General features: G+C 37.3%; 1 long non-coding RNA gene across 1 annotated transcript in view, besides 2 other annotated features; it reads right to left on the bottom strand.

Moving 5' to 3' along the window:
• LOC107987026 (uncharacterized) overlaps nt 1-15,392 on the bottom strand; it is a 69,939-nt gene extending 54,547 nt beyond the window's left edge. Inside the window, exon 1 of the long non-coding RNA XR_001746563.3 lies at nt 15,230-15,392. This is a non-coding gene — a long non-coding RNA (uncharacterized LOC107987026). The remainder of the gene's footprint in view (nt 1-15,229) is intronic.
• Nucleotides 7,786-7,930: an enhancer, noted in NCBI's record as "145 bp 9:21760452 sequence used in MPRA reporter constructs". NCBI's record gives its function as "activates a minimal TATA-containing promoter with rs11384803 allelic activity by MPRAs in C283T melanocytes {active_cell/tissue: C283T}" and the evidence as "EXISTENCE:reporter gene assay evidence [ECO:0000049][PMID:36423637]".
• Nucleotides 7,859-7,862: a transcriptional cis regulatory region, noted in NCBI's record as "rs11384803 or 9:21760452 MPRA-significant variant associated with a GWAS melanoma risk locus at 9p21.3". NCBI's record gives its function as "allelic transcriptional activity by MPRAs in C283T melanocytes {active_cell/tissue: C283T}" and the evidence as "EXISTENCE:reporter gene assay evidence [ECO:0000049][PMID:36423637]".
• Nucleotides 15,393-15,737: the final 345 nt, after the last annotated feature.

Below are 15,737 nucleotides of genomic sequence, written 5' to 3' on the forward strand. Positions count from 1 at the left end.
CATTTTTAAAGTGTGCATGAACTGCATGAAAATCACCTTATATGACAAATGATGATATGACAAACAGCAAAAATAATTCTTTGTATATAATCCATCATTGCTAATAGGATATAGGCAAGTCAATGGAAGTATGATACAGGTGTTCAATAAATGTATTTGTGTTGATTGATTATTGAAGTTTGCTGGATTTCATGCTCCATGCATTTCTTCTTAAAGTATCAGAATATGTCTATTAAATTCTTTTATACATTTTAAGAGCTTCTGGGGAGTATGTCTGGATGTTCTTTAAAATGCTTTGTGACACTGCAGATGTCACATATGATTTTTTAAAAAATAATAGCCCTGAATATCCCCAGCAGTGCAGGAAGAAATTTGATAGTATTTACATAGAAGCCATCTTGGCGTCCATTTCTCTACCAAGTACAAGATCCACTTTTCAATTCAAACTCAGTCTGGAAGTTTTTCTTCCTTCCAAAGGGAACAGAATTAACAATTCCGCCTAGTTCTACTATTACGGAGATTGCAGACAGAACAGACTGAATGGAAGATAGCAGTCAGATGATGCCCAAGAGTGGCAAAAAACAGTAGATCCAGAGAGACAGAAAGGCAAATCATTCTGGAGGGGTCTTGAGGCCAACAGTGTGAGGGACCACCACCTTCCTTCAATACACTTCAAGATCTAAGTAAAATAATTCAATAACCAAGATTTCTTTTTTTTTGCTGTTGCTAACAAACAGGTATAAAAAGAAATGACCATTTTAATGAAGGTCAGTTGGGGACAGCAAGAATTATGGAGATAAATGGGCTATAGATAACAAAGGAAAAGAATCCCAAGTGAAACCAAACTGGACACACACTTGGCTAACTGTTGGAAAGGAAGGGTTAGAAATTTTGACAGATACCTACAATTATTTTATTTAGAGTTTATAAATAATTATGCTTAAGGTACGATAACTTCTATACAGTTTCCATCCCAATGTCCAGTTTCAATTATTTCAACTAAAACTCTTGTATTGTTCATAAAGTCTAGAGTATAGGAGGTCCCTTTAGGCATCAAAGATGAGAAGCCAAGTCAGAAAAATTCTAACTGACCATTATGCTCAAGATTCCAGTGCTGAGCAGGGCAGGGAAGATAAACAGAGCTGTTTAAGCAAGATTCCTGTCTAGGGTTGTTGCCATGACACAGTTTGGAAGAAGAAGGTCTATCAACAACTTATTTCCCCTGTGCTTCAATGAGTTAAAGCATTTTCTCACAAGAAATAAATGTGTAGTGTTTAAGGATCCTTGACAGAGCTCCTTGTAAACTGAGCTCTCAGAAGTTGTCACTGGAGACCCACCATTTATTTTCCAAACAAAGGTCAAGATTAAACTTGAGGGATTTACCCAAATCTCTAATACAAGAGGATTCAGTTAAGGCTAGAGTTCACATCCTTATGCCTAAACTTCACAAGAGAGAAAATCTTTCAGAGGCACTGGAGAGCAAGAGTGCCTGATTGATACACCCTTGTTATTCTTAATATTGCCCTCTAGCAGTTTTTGAAATGAAGTCTTATGAGGCAGTAAAACTCTCTTATGTATTTTTTTCTACTTTCATTTACTTCAACCCAGGATCATCATGTGACTGAGATGATCAGGTTCAAAAGAGAAGGGAAAATGTGGTATGGGTTTGTATTAGTCCATTCTCACACTGCTATAAAGAACTACATGATACTGGGTAATTTATGAAGAAAACAGGTTTAATTGACTCACAGTTCTGCAGGTTGTACAGGCAGCATGGTTGGGAGGCCTCAAGAAACCTACAATCATGGCGGAAGGGTGAAGGGGAAGCAAGTATGTGCTACATGGAGGAGTAGGAGAGAGAGCAGGAAAGGGGAAGTGCTACATAGTTTTAAACAAACGGGTCTTATGAGAACTCACTCGCTATCATGATAACAGCAAGGAGGAAATCCATCCCCATGATCCAATCACCTCCCACCAGGTCCCTCCCCAAACACTGGGAATTACAATTCGACATGAGATCTGGGTGGGGATATAGAGCCAAGCCATATCAGGGTTTATATTTCATTTTGTCTATCTGGCTTGATTGACCATTGTAGCAGTGATGGTATGTATATTGGAAAATGCACCAGGCAGGCGTAAGTAGCCTCTGGTTTCTTGGGATTTTAGTAAAGTTATTAAATAGAACACATCATGCATCGCTTTAGTCTGCAATAGTATTTTTTAAAGAAAAATGATCAGTTGAAAGTGGCAGTAGGATTGTTTAAGTGTAGGTCCATTTATGGCTCATTTACAGTTTTTATGTAGCTTTGCCAATGTTTTGTATTCCTGACAGTCCCATGAGTCACTGACATCTTGTCAATTACAGTAGCCAACCTCTCTACCTGTATATCTGCAGGAAATTGGCCGAGATACAAATTTAGGAAATGTAAGGTGTCATTCTTTCAGGGAAGGTACAATAGCTCCAGGAAGTGGATAAAATGATCTCTCAAAAGGAAGAAGGGGGTATCAAGTTCCCCACCCCTCCTCCTTGGTTTTCATTATGTCCCCTCATTGTTTTTTATTTCAAAATTCGAATAATGTGCAAGCTTTGATACATCCAGGTTTTTAATCCTGCCAAGAAAACATTGTACTTTTGAGATAATCAAGTAGACAGCACTACTCTTAATCTTGACAAAAAGAAAAGAAAAAATAAATAAACCACAGAGCTGATGAGAAGACCCTAAAGGACTCAGAGCTTGTAATGACACACATTATTTCCTTTAGTTTGAGTTTTTCCTTTCATGAAGAAAACTCTAAGATATACAAAAATAGTTCTTTATGGCTTGAAGCTCTTATATTGCTAATGGCTTTTGACAGTGGTATTACAGCTTGTTTAATCCAATTGAATTTGATTATTCATTCAGTAAGAAGATAAATTAGTTGACAGAGGAAATGTTTTTCAGTCACTGGTTCATATTAATGTCTGAAAATTCAGTTGTCCAGAAAAAAAGAGATAGGGGTAGAAGAGAAGCCAAAGAGATATAATTCTAATCAAGGATTTTCCTGAAATTTGAATTTGACTATGAAGAAAGTATTGATTGTGGGGAGAAATAATGTTAATTCCCTAAAACACAGGGTGAGAACTTTTTAATGGAGTACACATTACTCATCAAAATATAGTCCCAAACTATATTATCAAACATGTCTAACCCACTTTACACACATACACACACACACACACACACACACACCACCCTACGATGCAGTTATATGAATCTTTATTGTTTACTAAACATAATACATTTCCTCCTTCCCCACTTACGTGCCTTTGCACATTGTATTCTTTGTATCCTCTTCCTAGAATGCTCTTCTTTAAATTGATAAACTTATCCTTCAAAATGCAACAAAAATACCACCTTTTCAATGAAGTCCTTCAGAATCCCCCCAGTGTCCCATAGAAATTTGCATATCCTCTTAATTCAATGTCCTGCAACCTTCTTTGCACATTAGCACCCCTGGGATTTGGCATGATCCTATCAGTAATGCTGTCTCAGTGGGGTTTTATATGAGAAGGGGCTTTCTATGGGTGAGGCAACAATGGTTCTCTCTTGTGAGGTTGAAATTTCCAGGGTATGAGTTTAATTTGAAACACCCACAACTCCCCTTCCCCACCCCTACCCCAGCATAAACTCTGGCATATCCACTTCCTATTCCATGGACAATCACTGCTTCACTGCTCCACTTATTACTGTTGTCATAACATCTTGTGAATATTTGTTTCCGCCTCTCTTTCTGATACTAGATGGTATTATTCATTTTTATGGTCAATGTTCCCCTTCTCACAGTGAAGTATTTCACATATAGGAGGTGCTCAATAAATGTTTGTTCTAAGAACAAGGGCATGAATGAATGAGTAAATGCCTGAGTAACAGAATGATTTCTAGGACATCATAGGATTCGGCATCCTTAACTGGTGAAGAGATGAACCAAAACACAGTTATACTCTTGTGCAGGGAGTGGTCTGGGTAGCTTTAATTTGTCAGTAACCCCCAGCCACATGTTGCTATTGTGTATCTGAAGTGTGAATAATCTGAATTGAGATGTGCTGTGAGTGTAAAACTTCACACTGGATTTAGGAGACAGTATAAATACCTATATATATATCTACATATATATAAAATATATCAGTATCAAAAAGCAAAACATCTCAATTTTTATGTTGATTACTTGTTGAGATATTTTGATCTATTGAGTTGAAGTATATTAGTAAAATTAATTTCACCTGTTTCTTTTTATTTTTCTAATGTGACTGGTAAAAAAAAATTGCATATGTAGCTCACATGGCATGCATTATATTATATTTCTCTTGAACAGCACTGGTCTTAAGAAATGAATCTCAGGCCCTGAATGGTTGAGTCTAACTTTGGCCCACTCAGATGAAAGTCTCTGTGCAGGCAAACGAAGGAAGTTGATGTGCACACTGATCTCCTTGAAAGTGCATTGAAGCTATACTGAAGAGCACTGGGATCAACAGTAATCTTTCAATAATTTCTGGTTCTCCACTATTTTCCAGGTATCTAATCTGATCCACACTTCTCACTGCGCTTCTTATCACATATCATTAGGTATTAGTTGTGTGCACCCTTCACCTCAGCACCAAGGCTGTGTTAGCTTCACTCTTAAGGTCCTTCACCTACTAATAACTTTCCCTTTACCGGGACAACACAGATGCTGCCCAAGCTGCAGTCTTCCTATCCCCTACCCCCAAGTATCTTACTGAGGCACCCCTTGCTATGGATTCCCATTGCACTGATAGCATTTTCAACATTATATTGTAATTTGCTGTGTGTCTCAATAACTAGCCTATAAGTTCTTTGAAGGCAGAGACTCTCACAATCAATATTTAAATGTTACACACCAAGAGAATAAATCAGTTCAGTGATGATCTAATTTGCCCATAAATTTCCATCAAACATCTGCCCTAGAGAAATCATACTTCTTTAAAAAAAAAACATATATTATCTGACATAAAGAAAACATATCAAAGCCCTAGCTGGAATCAAGCTTGATGACTAAAATCTACTTAATCCTCAAAAAGCCTTGTGTCAGGACCCACCTTCTGCAAAAGCATTACAGTTTATTATGGAAAAGCGATTGCTAAAACACGTTGGCTTCCTTTTTCCTGTCAGGAGATCTCATTCCAGTGTTAACCTGAGGAGCCTGCATATATTTGCCTTTGTCCCAGAAATATATAAGTGTTCCTGTGCTGTGGAGAATTAGGCACTGGGAAGTTAAGAGAGGGAGAGAGAGAGAGCCCAGAATTGGAGTCCCAGTCTTCTAAATGCAACCTATAGCTTGGAAATAAATTAGACTTTTAAAGACAGATATTTATTGGAGGTACTCCTAACAAATTTTTACCTACTCAAGAAACCTGAGTCATAATTCTCATATTCCATTCTGGTCTACCTAACCTCAGCACACTTATGTGACTACTAAAATTGTTTATTAACTTAAAAACTTTTTGATGGCAACAAAAAAAGAGCAGTAAAAAAATGAGAAAACATTTACATTATAAATAAAATCCAAGGCCAGGTGCAGTGGCTCATGCCTGTAATCCCAGCACTTTGGGAGGCCAAGGCAGGCAGATCACTTGAGGTCAGGAGTTTGAGACCAGCTGGCCAGTATGGTGAAACCCCGTCTCTACTAAAAATACAAAAATTAGCCAGGCATGGTGGTACACATCTGTAATCCCAGCTATTTGGGAGGCTGAGGCAGGAGAATCGCTTGAACCTGGAAAGCGGAGGTTGCAGTGAGCCAACATTGCGCCACTGCACTCCAGCCTGGGTGACAGAGAGACTCCATCTCAAAAATAAAAAATGAAAAATAAAATAAAATCCAAAAATGGTTTATCATTTATTCTTTCACTCAGTTAACTCTAAAAGATATGTCTACACATGCCTCCCTAAGAAAGAGCTGATAAATCTTGACCACTGAGGCCAAGAAAATAGTTCTAGACTCATCTGTTCCCTCTCTTGCATAATCTAGTGTTTTCCTGTCTACACAGTCTAATCTGTGATAGGTCATCCTCTTTTAATTCAGGGACCTTATTACTAATCACAGATAGTTCTTGGCTTTTGTTTATAAACTTTGTCAAAGTCTGGATTTAAAGAAGCAGGTTTTCTCAATGTATTTCTGCAAGAGGCAAAAAAAATCACATCAACAAGTTTTACAAAGGGCTGCTTGCCCTTACTTGCCTTTACTGTGTTGCTTCAGTTCTCCGATCTTCCCCACTGTGAGGACATAGCAAGAAGGCACCTTCCACAAGCCAGGAGGAAACAGGATGTACTGGCACCCTGATCTTGAACTACCACCCTCCAGAACTGTGAGAAAATACATTTCTGTTATTTAAGCCACCCGGTATAGGGTATTTTGTTATAGCAGGCCAGATCGATTATTATAGAAGTTCATATTTGCAGAAGCTCAACCTAGATTATCGTGCTTGGACAAGAAAGAATAACTATGCTACCAAGATTTAACTATACCATTTTATTTCCTTTACACTTGATAGAATAGATTTCTAAATTAGGGCCCACCAGTGAATTTTAAGGGATCCCCTTTTTTTCTGGGGAGAGGGTTTATTATACTTATCAACTTTTCATAAGGGATCTCTGATCCAAACCTTTTTTAAAAAATTGCTGTATGAGATTTCCACTGGGGAACCCAAAGCTCATAAGCCAAATATCAGGAATCTCAGGTTTCTGCTCCACAGACACATGATTAGACATCAGTAAATGAAGCATAAATATTTATCCCCTTCTTGTTTCTTTGGATACATTTCCCCTTCCAATACCCAGGTAAAAGTCTTTCCTTTAATGTGATCTCTAAATTGTATACCTTTCTTCAAGAGAACTACTAAAATCAGACATGAAAGCTATATAAAATATGATAGCTAAAATAAAGCTCTAGAACAACCAATTGTGGAGAAAATATTTTGAATCCACTTTGAGTGGGTTAGTACTGAGTGATAGGAAGCGTATCTTAGAAAAGCTTACTTGAACATCAAGGGCAGCAGTTGCTCTTTGGTTAATTCGCATGCTTTCAGCTATTCTCTATCCAGGCAGTCACCATGGTGGAGGGAAATCTGCTGAAAACAAGGACCAAGCATTCCTTACCTGTAAAAAGCTGACAGAGCACCTTCATTTCTAGCCACAGGACTCCCTTCTGCACTAGTCTCTAACCCTGAAAGGCACTTGTTTGTACTTCAGGGAGGTAAGGCTGGATGTCACCTCTAGATAGGTTCAGAGGGATGATTGTGTCCATTCAAGATGTCTGTCAGCCATCACCATTACTAGGACCCTGAGAATCTGTTTAAATATATATATACATGCATGTGTATTTGTATCAACATATTTATATATATCAACATATTTATATATATCAACATATTTATATATATCAATATGTTTATATTGATATAATATACATAGATATATAGATATGTCCATATAAATACATATATAGATATATAATATTTAATTATGCATAATGTATTTTATATAATATATATTATTTATATTATATGACATATATAATATATAATATATTACACAATATCTATATCTATATATCATGCATCCTAAATGCTCTATTTTCCCAAGCAGATAGCCATCTTTTTCACTGTCTTAAAGGATGCTCATTCAACAAGCTACTACATATGTATATGCATATGTATATGTATATGTATTGCGTATGTGTATGTATGTGTATATATATATATGTATATATATGCTAGCATTTTCTTGTACAGAGCAGTATTATGCCCCTTCATTAGAGGAAACAAACTTTTAGAGGTAAGGTTTCATTGACAAACACTTTATTTAAAAGCTTATGGAGAATTTCCCCTAAAATACTTCAGACTTTTTATTCTATCATAAGGAATTAATGTTGTCCATCAGCAGGAAAAAATGCAGCACATTGTCTTAATTATTTAGAGGTTTCACTTTTTTTGAGTAGTGGGAGGGCTATGAATAAAACAAAAACATGCTTACATTTTCCTAAATTTTTAACTTGGATTCCATTTACCGCTACCTATCAGAAAGATGGTGCGGGAATTAGACTGTGGCAGCGGTTGGGGTGGGGATGGAATATGGGAACCGGGACTATCACTTTTAGAGTTTTATTTCCACATCCAGTTTTCAAATCTGTCCTTGTTTTCATGTTTTATTGGCAACTGGTTTGGAGTACAGAGGCTAAACATACCCATCTATGTGAAATACTTGAAAGACGATCAATTTAAATACAAAATCTGAAAGAAAATTGAAACAGTTCATCAATCTCAGGAAGTTTCAGGAATATCTAAATGTAATGAACATAATAAATTGATGACCGACTGGCGTTTCCAATTTTCTTCAAGACCATTGGAAATCTTTTCATAAGAGTCTTTGAGTTGTTTTAAGAGTCTCTCAAGCATACAAATATATAACAAATTAAAAAGAAGTTATAAAATATAACTGCTATGTGCTCCGATATTAACAATCAATTCTTTTTCAAATGTGTAGGTGATGTTCTTAAGCAGCTGTGGCCACAGTAGGGATCTGTGTCAGTACTAGTCTGGATTTGCCCTTCACTTGTGTCCTGAATTTTTATATTTCTAACCCTTGTTGTTTATTGTTTCTATACCCCACACTGCTCTATACCTGTCTAGTCAATTCCTGGTAACAGGATAATCTAAGAGTGAAGAGTTTTGTGTACTTTGCAACCGTTCTAAATTTGTAGCTGCAAATGCAAGTTTTCCATCTCAGCCACGCAGGCTTCATCAACCATATTTCTATTGCTCTTGTTATTTCTATTTCTGTTTTGAATTGCTCTTTTTTAGCCCCTACCACAAGAAGCAGAGCTGTGATGACACTTTCATGTGGCTAACGTCAAATCCACTAGGCTTCTTGCCTGAATCACCATGAGTGAAAGTGTTGGGATACCACTGTGGCTTTCAGAATGAATAAACCCTGCTCTCATTCAGCTGCTGTTTTCAAAGTTGCTTTCAGTGTTGAATTTTAAGTGGGATTCTTTCTGATTTTTCACTACAGACACAAGTTGGTGTGTATGGATCTCAGCCTAGTCGACCATGACTTGGCATTTTAACCAAGTCATAATTCTCAATGGACATTTTTGAAAGATGCTGATCAATTGTCCATTGAGGAAAAATAGTCTACATACTCTCACTTGGCAAACATTCCCCAAATTTTTCAGCCTCTTTAGATATAATTAAAAGAGATAATGATGGTGGGATGTCAGGAGGCTCCCCTTTTCCCACTGAAACCAGGGAGATTCAGATGAGGCTCAAATCAGTACAAATGGGATTCAAGTTAAGTCTAAGAATCTAATTTCTGAATCTAAGTCTTTAAATCTGGTAGAATAGTAAAAGGTTTGTCTTCAAGAGATTTTTTAAAAGAGGGGACAATTTGCATACAATATTTATTGAGAATCTACTAAATGCTAGATAACCAGAGACGGTAAGACGCTGTTTCTGCTCCTATGGAGCTTGCAGTATGGAATCAGTCAGCTAATTAGAGAAGAAGTTATGACAAAGTTTGGGTTATATTATGACAGAGGAAATTCAGGATATTCTAGTATCAAGGAAAAGTAAAGAAAAGGACTTCTGGAAGAAGTGCCACCTCAAAAGTGCCTGAAGGGTGAGTGAGTTGGAATTAGTCATGAAAAGAAGGAATAGAGGTAGAAGGAGGTTTGAAGTACTCACGAAAGCATTCATTTACTAGTGCAAATGAGAGCATGGTGGAACAACATGGAACTGACAGAAACTTAGAATGGTTGAAATTCAAATGGACAGGGTGAAGGGGATATGAGATGAGTATGAAACACAAGGTCATATTGGGGTGAAAATTGCAAGCCATATTAAGGAATTTGTAATTTTTTTTCCTAAGGAAAATAGCCATTGAAGGTCTTCTTTTTTTTTATTTTATAATTATTACACTTTAAGTTTGGAAAGGACACCACTGGCAACAATGTGACCAATGAATTAGGGGCGAGTTAGGATGTAAGGAGACCAGGTAAGAGGCTATGAAAAGTAGTTGCAATTTGGACTAGGATAGTAGCTGAGGACACAGGGAGGACTGGAGGGAATCAGGACATTGCTAAAGGGTCAATTACCGTAGATTGATTGAATGCAAAGGGGAAAGAAAAAAAAGGAAGCTGGTCAATGGATACGAGGAATTAAGATGATAGCCTGAAAGTAAGGGTATTTATTAAAAACCAAAAATATAATCCACGCTGGGCCTGGTGGCTCACACCTGTAATCCCAGCACTTTGGGAGGCCAAAATGGGTAGATCACTTGAGCCCAGGAGTTTGAGACCAGCCTGGGCAACATGGTGCAACCCTGTCTCTACAAAAAAATATAAAGCTAGCCAGGCATAGTGGCATGCACCTGTAGTCCCAGATACTTGGAAAGCTGAGGTGGGAGGATCACTTAAGCCGGGGAGATTGAGACTGCAGTGAGCCATGATGGTGCAACTGCACTCCAGCCTGGGCAACAGAGCGAGATGCTGTCTCAAAACAAAACAAAACAAATATGATTCCAGGAATTTAAGCATAGAGCTTTGTTTTTATCAAAGACTAAAAAATAAATGATTCAGAGTCTTTCTTGTTCAATGATTTTATTAGTATTAACTAGTCTTTCAGTGCTGAGAAGCCATTTAATTTTTTAAGTCACCTCTAGCTGTAAGCTCAATTCACAGTATTTTTTGTGAAATAACCATCTTCATTCAGAGTTTAGTTAGCCACCCCCACAAGTAGGAAGAAATCCAAGGTTTATATATTTAACATTCTATAAAAGATCTGTGTATAAATATTAAATTCCTTAGCATAATTTGAAAAAGTTCAGATTGAGAAAATTTGAGTGCAAAGTAGTTTGAATTATACAGCAAAAAGAATATACTCTATGCGACATATATTTTCTAAGAGGTATGCACAATTTATGTATTTTATGTAATAATAATTGAAACAAACAAAAAACTTAATGGATTTACATAGCTAGATTCTATCTTAAGAATTACCAAAAGAACATAGAATATTAATCTATTCATGGCATAGGAGGGTTGTCAATGTTTATTATGTGGTGCTTTAAAAAATATGTAATATATGTTCTGTATCTGTACAAGTTATTGATAAGAGAAAGATACTGAAAAATGGTCCCATACCAACAATTCCTATCAGACCAATCTTACTTCATCGTATAATGAATGTTACAGGGGATGGAAGGAAACAAAAATATTAAAAATGAATGTTTGAATTATGTCCTGATCAGTATTAATATGCCAGGAATATATTTTAGAAACCCAACAGTACTAGGGGAAATGATAATGAATGTGAAGCCCTGGTAATCAATATATTATTATGAAATACTGTTTACAGTTTTGTTTCATTTTTTCTAAAAATATTCAAAGCAAATCTATGCTGAGTAAAGAGTTTGGCATCTGTCTTATTTATAGATCTATCCTGGATGTGTATGTGTGACACAATACAAATTTCTCACCTTTTCTGCCCCTAAACTTGTTTACCCTCCTATGTTCCCTGTGTCCTTGATGGTTCCCCCTAGCTACTAGGCACCAAAACAAAATCTGGGAAGCATGCTAGACCTCACCCCTGTCATCTAGTCAATCTCTGGATTCAGTCAATTGTAATTCCTAAATATTGCTCAAGTCCAAATTTTGTCATATAGATCTACCTCCTAGCCCTTGATATCACTCAGCTGAATTATTGCAATATTCCCCTAACTGGACTCTCTGCATTGAATTCTCACTTTTCTTTTAAATTATCATTCACTCTTCCACCAGACAGATGAATCTAAAACACAGTTCAGACCAGGTAACACTCTGTCTAAACCCCTTGATCATCATTCCTGCTTCTTTCAGTATATAGTTTTTATTCTTTCTTTGTAAAATTGTAATGGAATTTCAAATGTTATGATTGCAGTGACTTCCAGTATGACAATAACAGAATATCTTGTATCAGATGAACCCATCCTCAGAAAACAATTATAAATTGTGTACAAAGTATTTTAAAAACAAAAATTTAAAGGCACTAAAGAGTGATCAAAAGCAGACAGAAACTAGTGGTGAATTAATCCTTGAAATTAGAGAGTCACATGGGTTTTATAGTTTTTCCCCAGAGGCCCTCTCTGGTCCCCGCAATATTTAGAATATAGAACTAAAACAAAATGAAACTTGCCTTCTTATTGAAGTCAAATTAGGAATTTCCTTTCCAGGAAATGGAATCACAGAAGGGGAAGATGGAGGAGTCACAGAAGGGGAAGCCTCAAAAGTTGCATAATAATATCCCCTAAAATCCTTGGCTGACTGCTTGTGCACGGGAGCAACTCCAGGGAAGCCGGGAGGAAAACCACAGAAAAAACATTGAAAGGATGAAAAACCGATCATATATTTCAGCTGCTACCTACTGCAGAGAAACAGTTTAGAGTTCAAGTTCAACCAAATTAGAGGGGCTTAGAAAACACTGTGAGTTTTCCATTGAAATTCCAGAAAGGTTACACATATGAAGTAAAGACCACATTCCAGGACTAAGGGATTATTTGCTCTTCAACTTGAGACAAAACTAAAACAGGCTTAACTTAGCAAATTGTGAAACCAAACCCCACAAGTTCAAAATCATCTGCCTATAATTTAGCTATCTGCTAGAATAAAACGACCTCTATTTAGTGTGAGAGTTAGCAAACTAAAACCCATGGCCTATTTTTGTATGACCCTCAAGATAAGGAAGACTTTTACATTCTTAAAGGGTGGAGAAGGAGGAGGAAGGAAGGAGAGGAGGAAAGAGAAGAGGAAGAAGAAAAGAAAGAGGAAGTGTTGGGGAAGAAGAAAAGGAAGAGGAAGGGAAAGGGAAGAAATACCAATAACCAAAGGTTGCCTACAAGGCCTAAAATATTTACCATATATCCCTTTATAGAAAAAGTTTCCCAGTACACCCTTTAAAGAAATATGGTATAATCCAGAACCTCTACAATGTATTATCTGTGATATCCCAAATGCCATTAAAAAGTATTGGTAATGTAAAGAAACAAGTAAATGTGTCCATAAAACGATAAAGTTGGTTAACAGAAATAGGTCTACAATGCTGGTCCATAAAAGAACCTTAAAATAATCATGACAATTATTTCAAATATGGTTTCAGTTGATGAAAAGGGGAGAAATTCTGGGAGAGATTTGTAAACTGAAAAGAATAACAAAAACAAATGAAAATTCTAGAACTAAAACAATTTAACATCCGAAATTTAAAAATCATTTAATAAGATTATCAATGGATTAGATACAATAGAAATAATGGATTAATGAGTGTGAAGACTACTTAATAAAAACATCCAAACTTAAACAAAGAGAGAGAAAAAAGTTTGAAAAAATCTAACAAAACTTCAAGGATCTGTGGGACAGTACAAGTCTAATGTGTATAATTAGTGTTTCAGCAAAGAAGAAAGACAATGCATTTCAATATGTGTATATCTATATCTGTACACACATATTAGCTGAAGAATGTTCAAATTTGACTAAAAACTGTGGATCAAATTTTTTAATTTGATCCAAAGGCTCAGGAAGCTCGGTGAATTTCAAACAGGATGAATACTAATGTGATATTGTGAGTTGGCTTTAGGGAGGTTCAGGGAACCTTTGGAGTTGGAGGCTCACTTCACAGAGCTTGCTATAGCTCTACAAAGAGTGCTTTCTTCTCCACGAGGACAAAGGTCTTCATTCTTGGTTAAGTAGTTGGAAAGTAAAAAGGAAACTTTACCCTCAGATGCTAAATTGGTATACATTTATCATTTATTGAGTTTCCACTATGTGCTAGGCCATTCTGGGTGCTTTAGCATGTTATGTCATTTAATCCTTACAATCTTGTGTATAATTTTATAGATAAAGAACCTAAGGCTCACAGAGGTATGCAACTTGTGCCAGGTCACAAGTCATAATTTTTAGAAGAAATTTAAATACAATTGATCTATAAATGAAACCTGTACTCTTTCCACCACTTTTCCCTTAGACCCCACAGCATATACAAATATATGCACAATGGTTATAACTATTTGCTAAACTAATAACTGTCTTTGTTTTGTGCTACCATAACAGCAGACCAGACACTGGGTAATAAATTAAATAAAAAGAAACATTTCTCACAGTTCTGAAGGCTGGGAAGTCCAATGGCAAGGGGTTGGCATCTTGAAAGGGCCTTCTTGCTGTGTCACCTCATGGCAGAAGGTGAGACGACGAGAGAGTGAGAGACAGAGCAAGGGAAGGGGACTAAACTCACCCTTTTATAATGAACCCACTCCCACAATAACAGCATAAATCTGTTTATGAGGGCAGAACCCTCATGGCCTAATCACCTGTCATTAGGACCCACTTCCCAGCACTGTTGCACTGGAAATTAACTTTCCAGCACATGCTTTTTGGGGGATACATTCAAACCACAGCATTTAGCCCCTGGCCCTTAAAATTCATGTTCTTCTCACATGCAAAATATGTTTATTCCATCCCAATAACCTCAAAGTCTTAATGTGCTCTAGCATCAACTCAGAAAAAGTCCAGAGTCTAAATCAGGTATATGTGAGACTCAAGGCACAATTCATCCTGAGGCAAATTCCTCTACTGCTGTGAGCCTGTGAAATAAAAATAAGCTATATAATTGCAAAACATAATGGTGAGATAGGCATAGGATAGCCATTTCATTACAAAAGGAAGAAGTAGGCAAGAAGAAATGAGAAACTGATCCCAGGTAAGTAAAAAACCCAACAGGGTAAGCAATGTTGAATCTTAAAGCAGTAGAATCATCTTTTTTGACTCAATGTCCTTTGTGCACACTCGGGTAGGAGTTGGGCTTCCAAGGCCTTGGGCAGTCCCACCCCTATGACTATGCTGGGGACAGCCCACACAGCAGCTTTTGCATGTTGGATTCTCCTGTCTGCAGCCCTCCCAGGCTGGAGTTCCATGATGGTGGCTCTACAGTTGTGGAGTCTCAACAGCAACCTGACCTCCGTGACTCCAGGAGGTATTGCCCTAGTGGAACTTTCTGTAGTGGCTCTGCCTCATGACAAGTCTCTGTCTGAGCACCAAGGCTGTCTGAGAAATCTTTTAAAATCTAGGTGAAAGAAGCCATGACTCCGCAGCTCTTGTATTTCATGAGTCTTCAGAATTAGCCCCATGTAGATGCTGTCAGTTTATGACTTACCCCTTCCAAAGTAGTGACACAAGCTGGATTGAGGCTGGCTTGAATTGTAGCTGGGGTGGTCAAGGAATGCTGCACCAGAATGGGGAGAGCAGAAATCTGAAGTGGCACAGGGCAACAGATGCTGAGGTCCTGCAGGCAACTCTCTCTGGAAGCCTTGGTCAAGATACAGAACGAATCCACCAGGATGCTTTCTTAGCCCAGAATCTGGCTTATTTGCTCTATGGTTCAGTATTGAACCTGTACTTTAGTTTCCTATTGTGTATTCTGTTTACCCAGTTGGGTCTGGGGTTGCCTTTGGCTGGATCCCAGCCATCAAGATATGTTTTACTGTGAGTGGAGTCTACCTTCTTTATCTACTGGGAGAGGCCCTGATGTAAAGCAAGCAGGCCACTTGGAAGTACATTAATCACTTGGGAAATTTCTCTGTCTCCTGTGGCTATCAAACACCAACTTAGATTGAGTACCATTTTATTTCTTGATCCTTTTGGGCACTGAAAAACGTACAACT

This window comes from Homo sapiens, chromosome 9 (assembly GCF_000001405.40).
Source record: "Homo sapiens chromosome 9, GRCh38.p14 Primary Assembly".
Classification (NCBI taxonomy): Eukaryota; Metazoa; Chordata; class Mammalia; order Primates; family Hominidae; genus Homo; species Homo sapiens.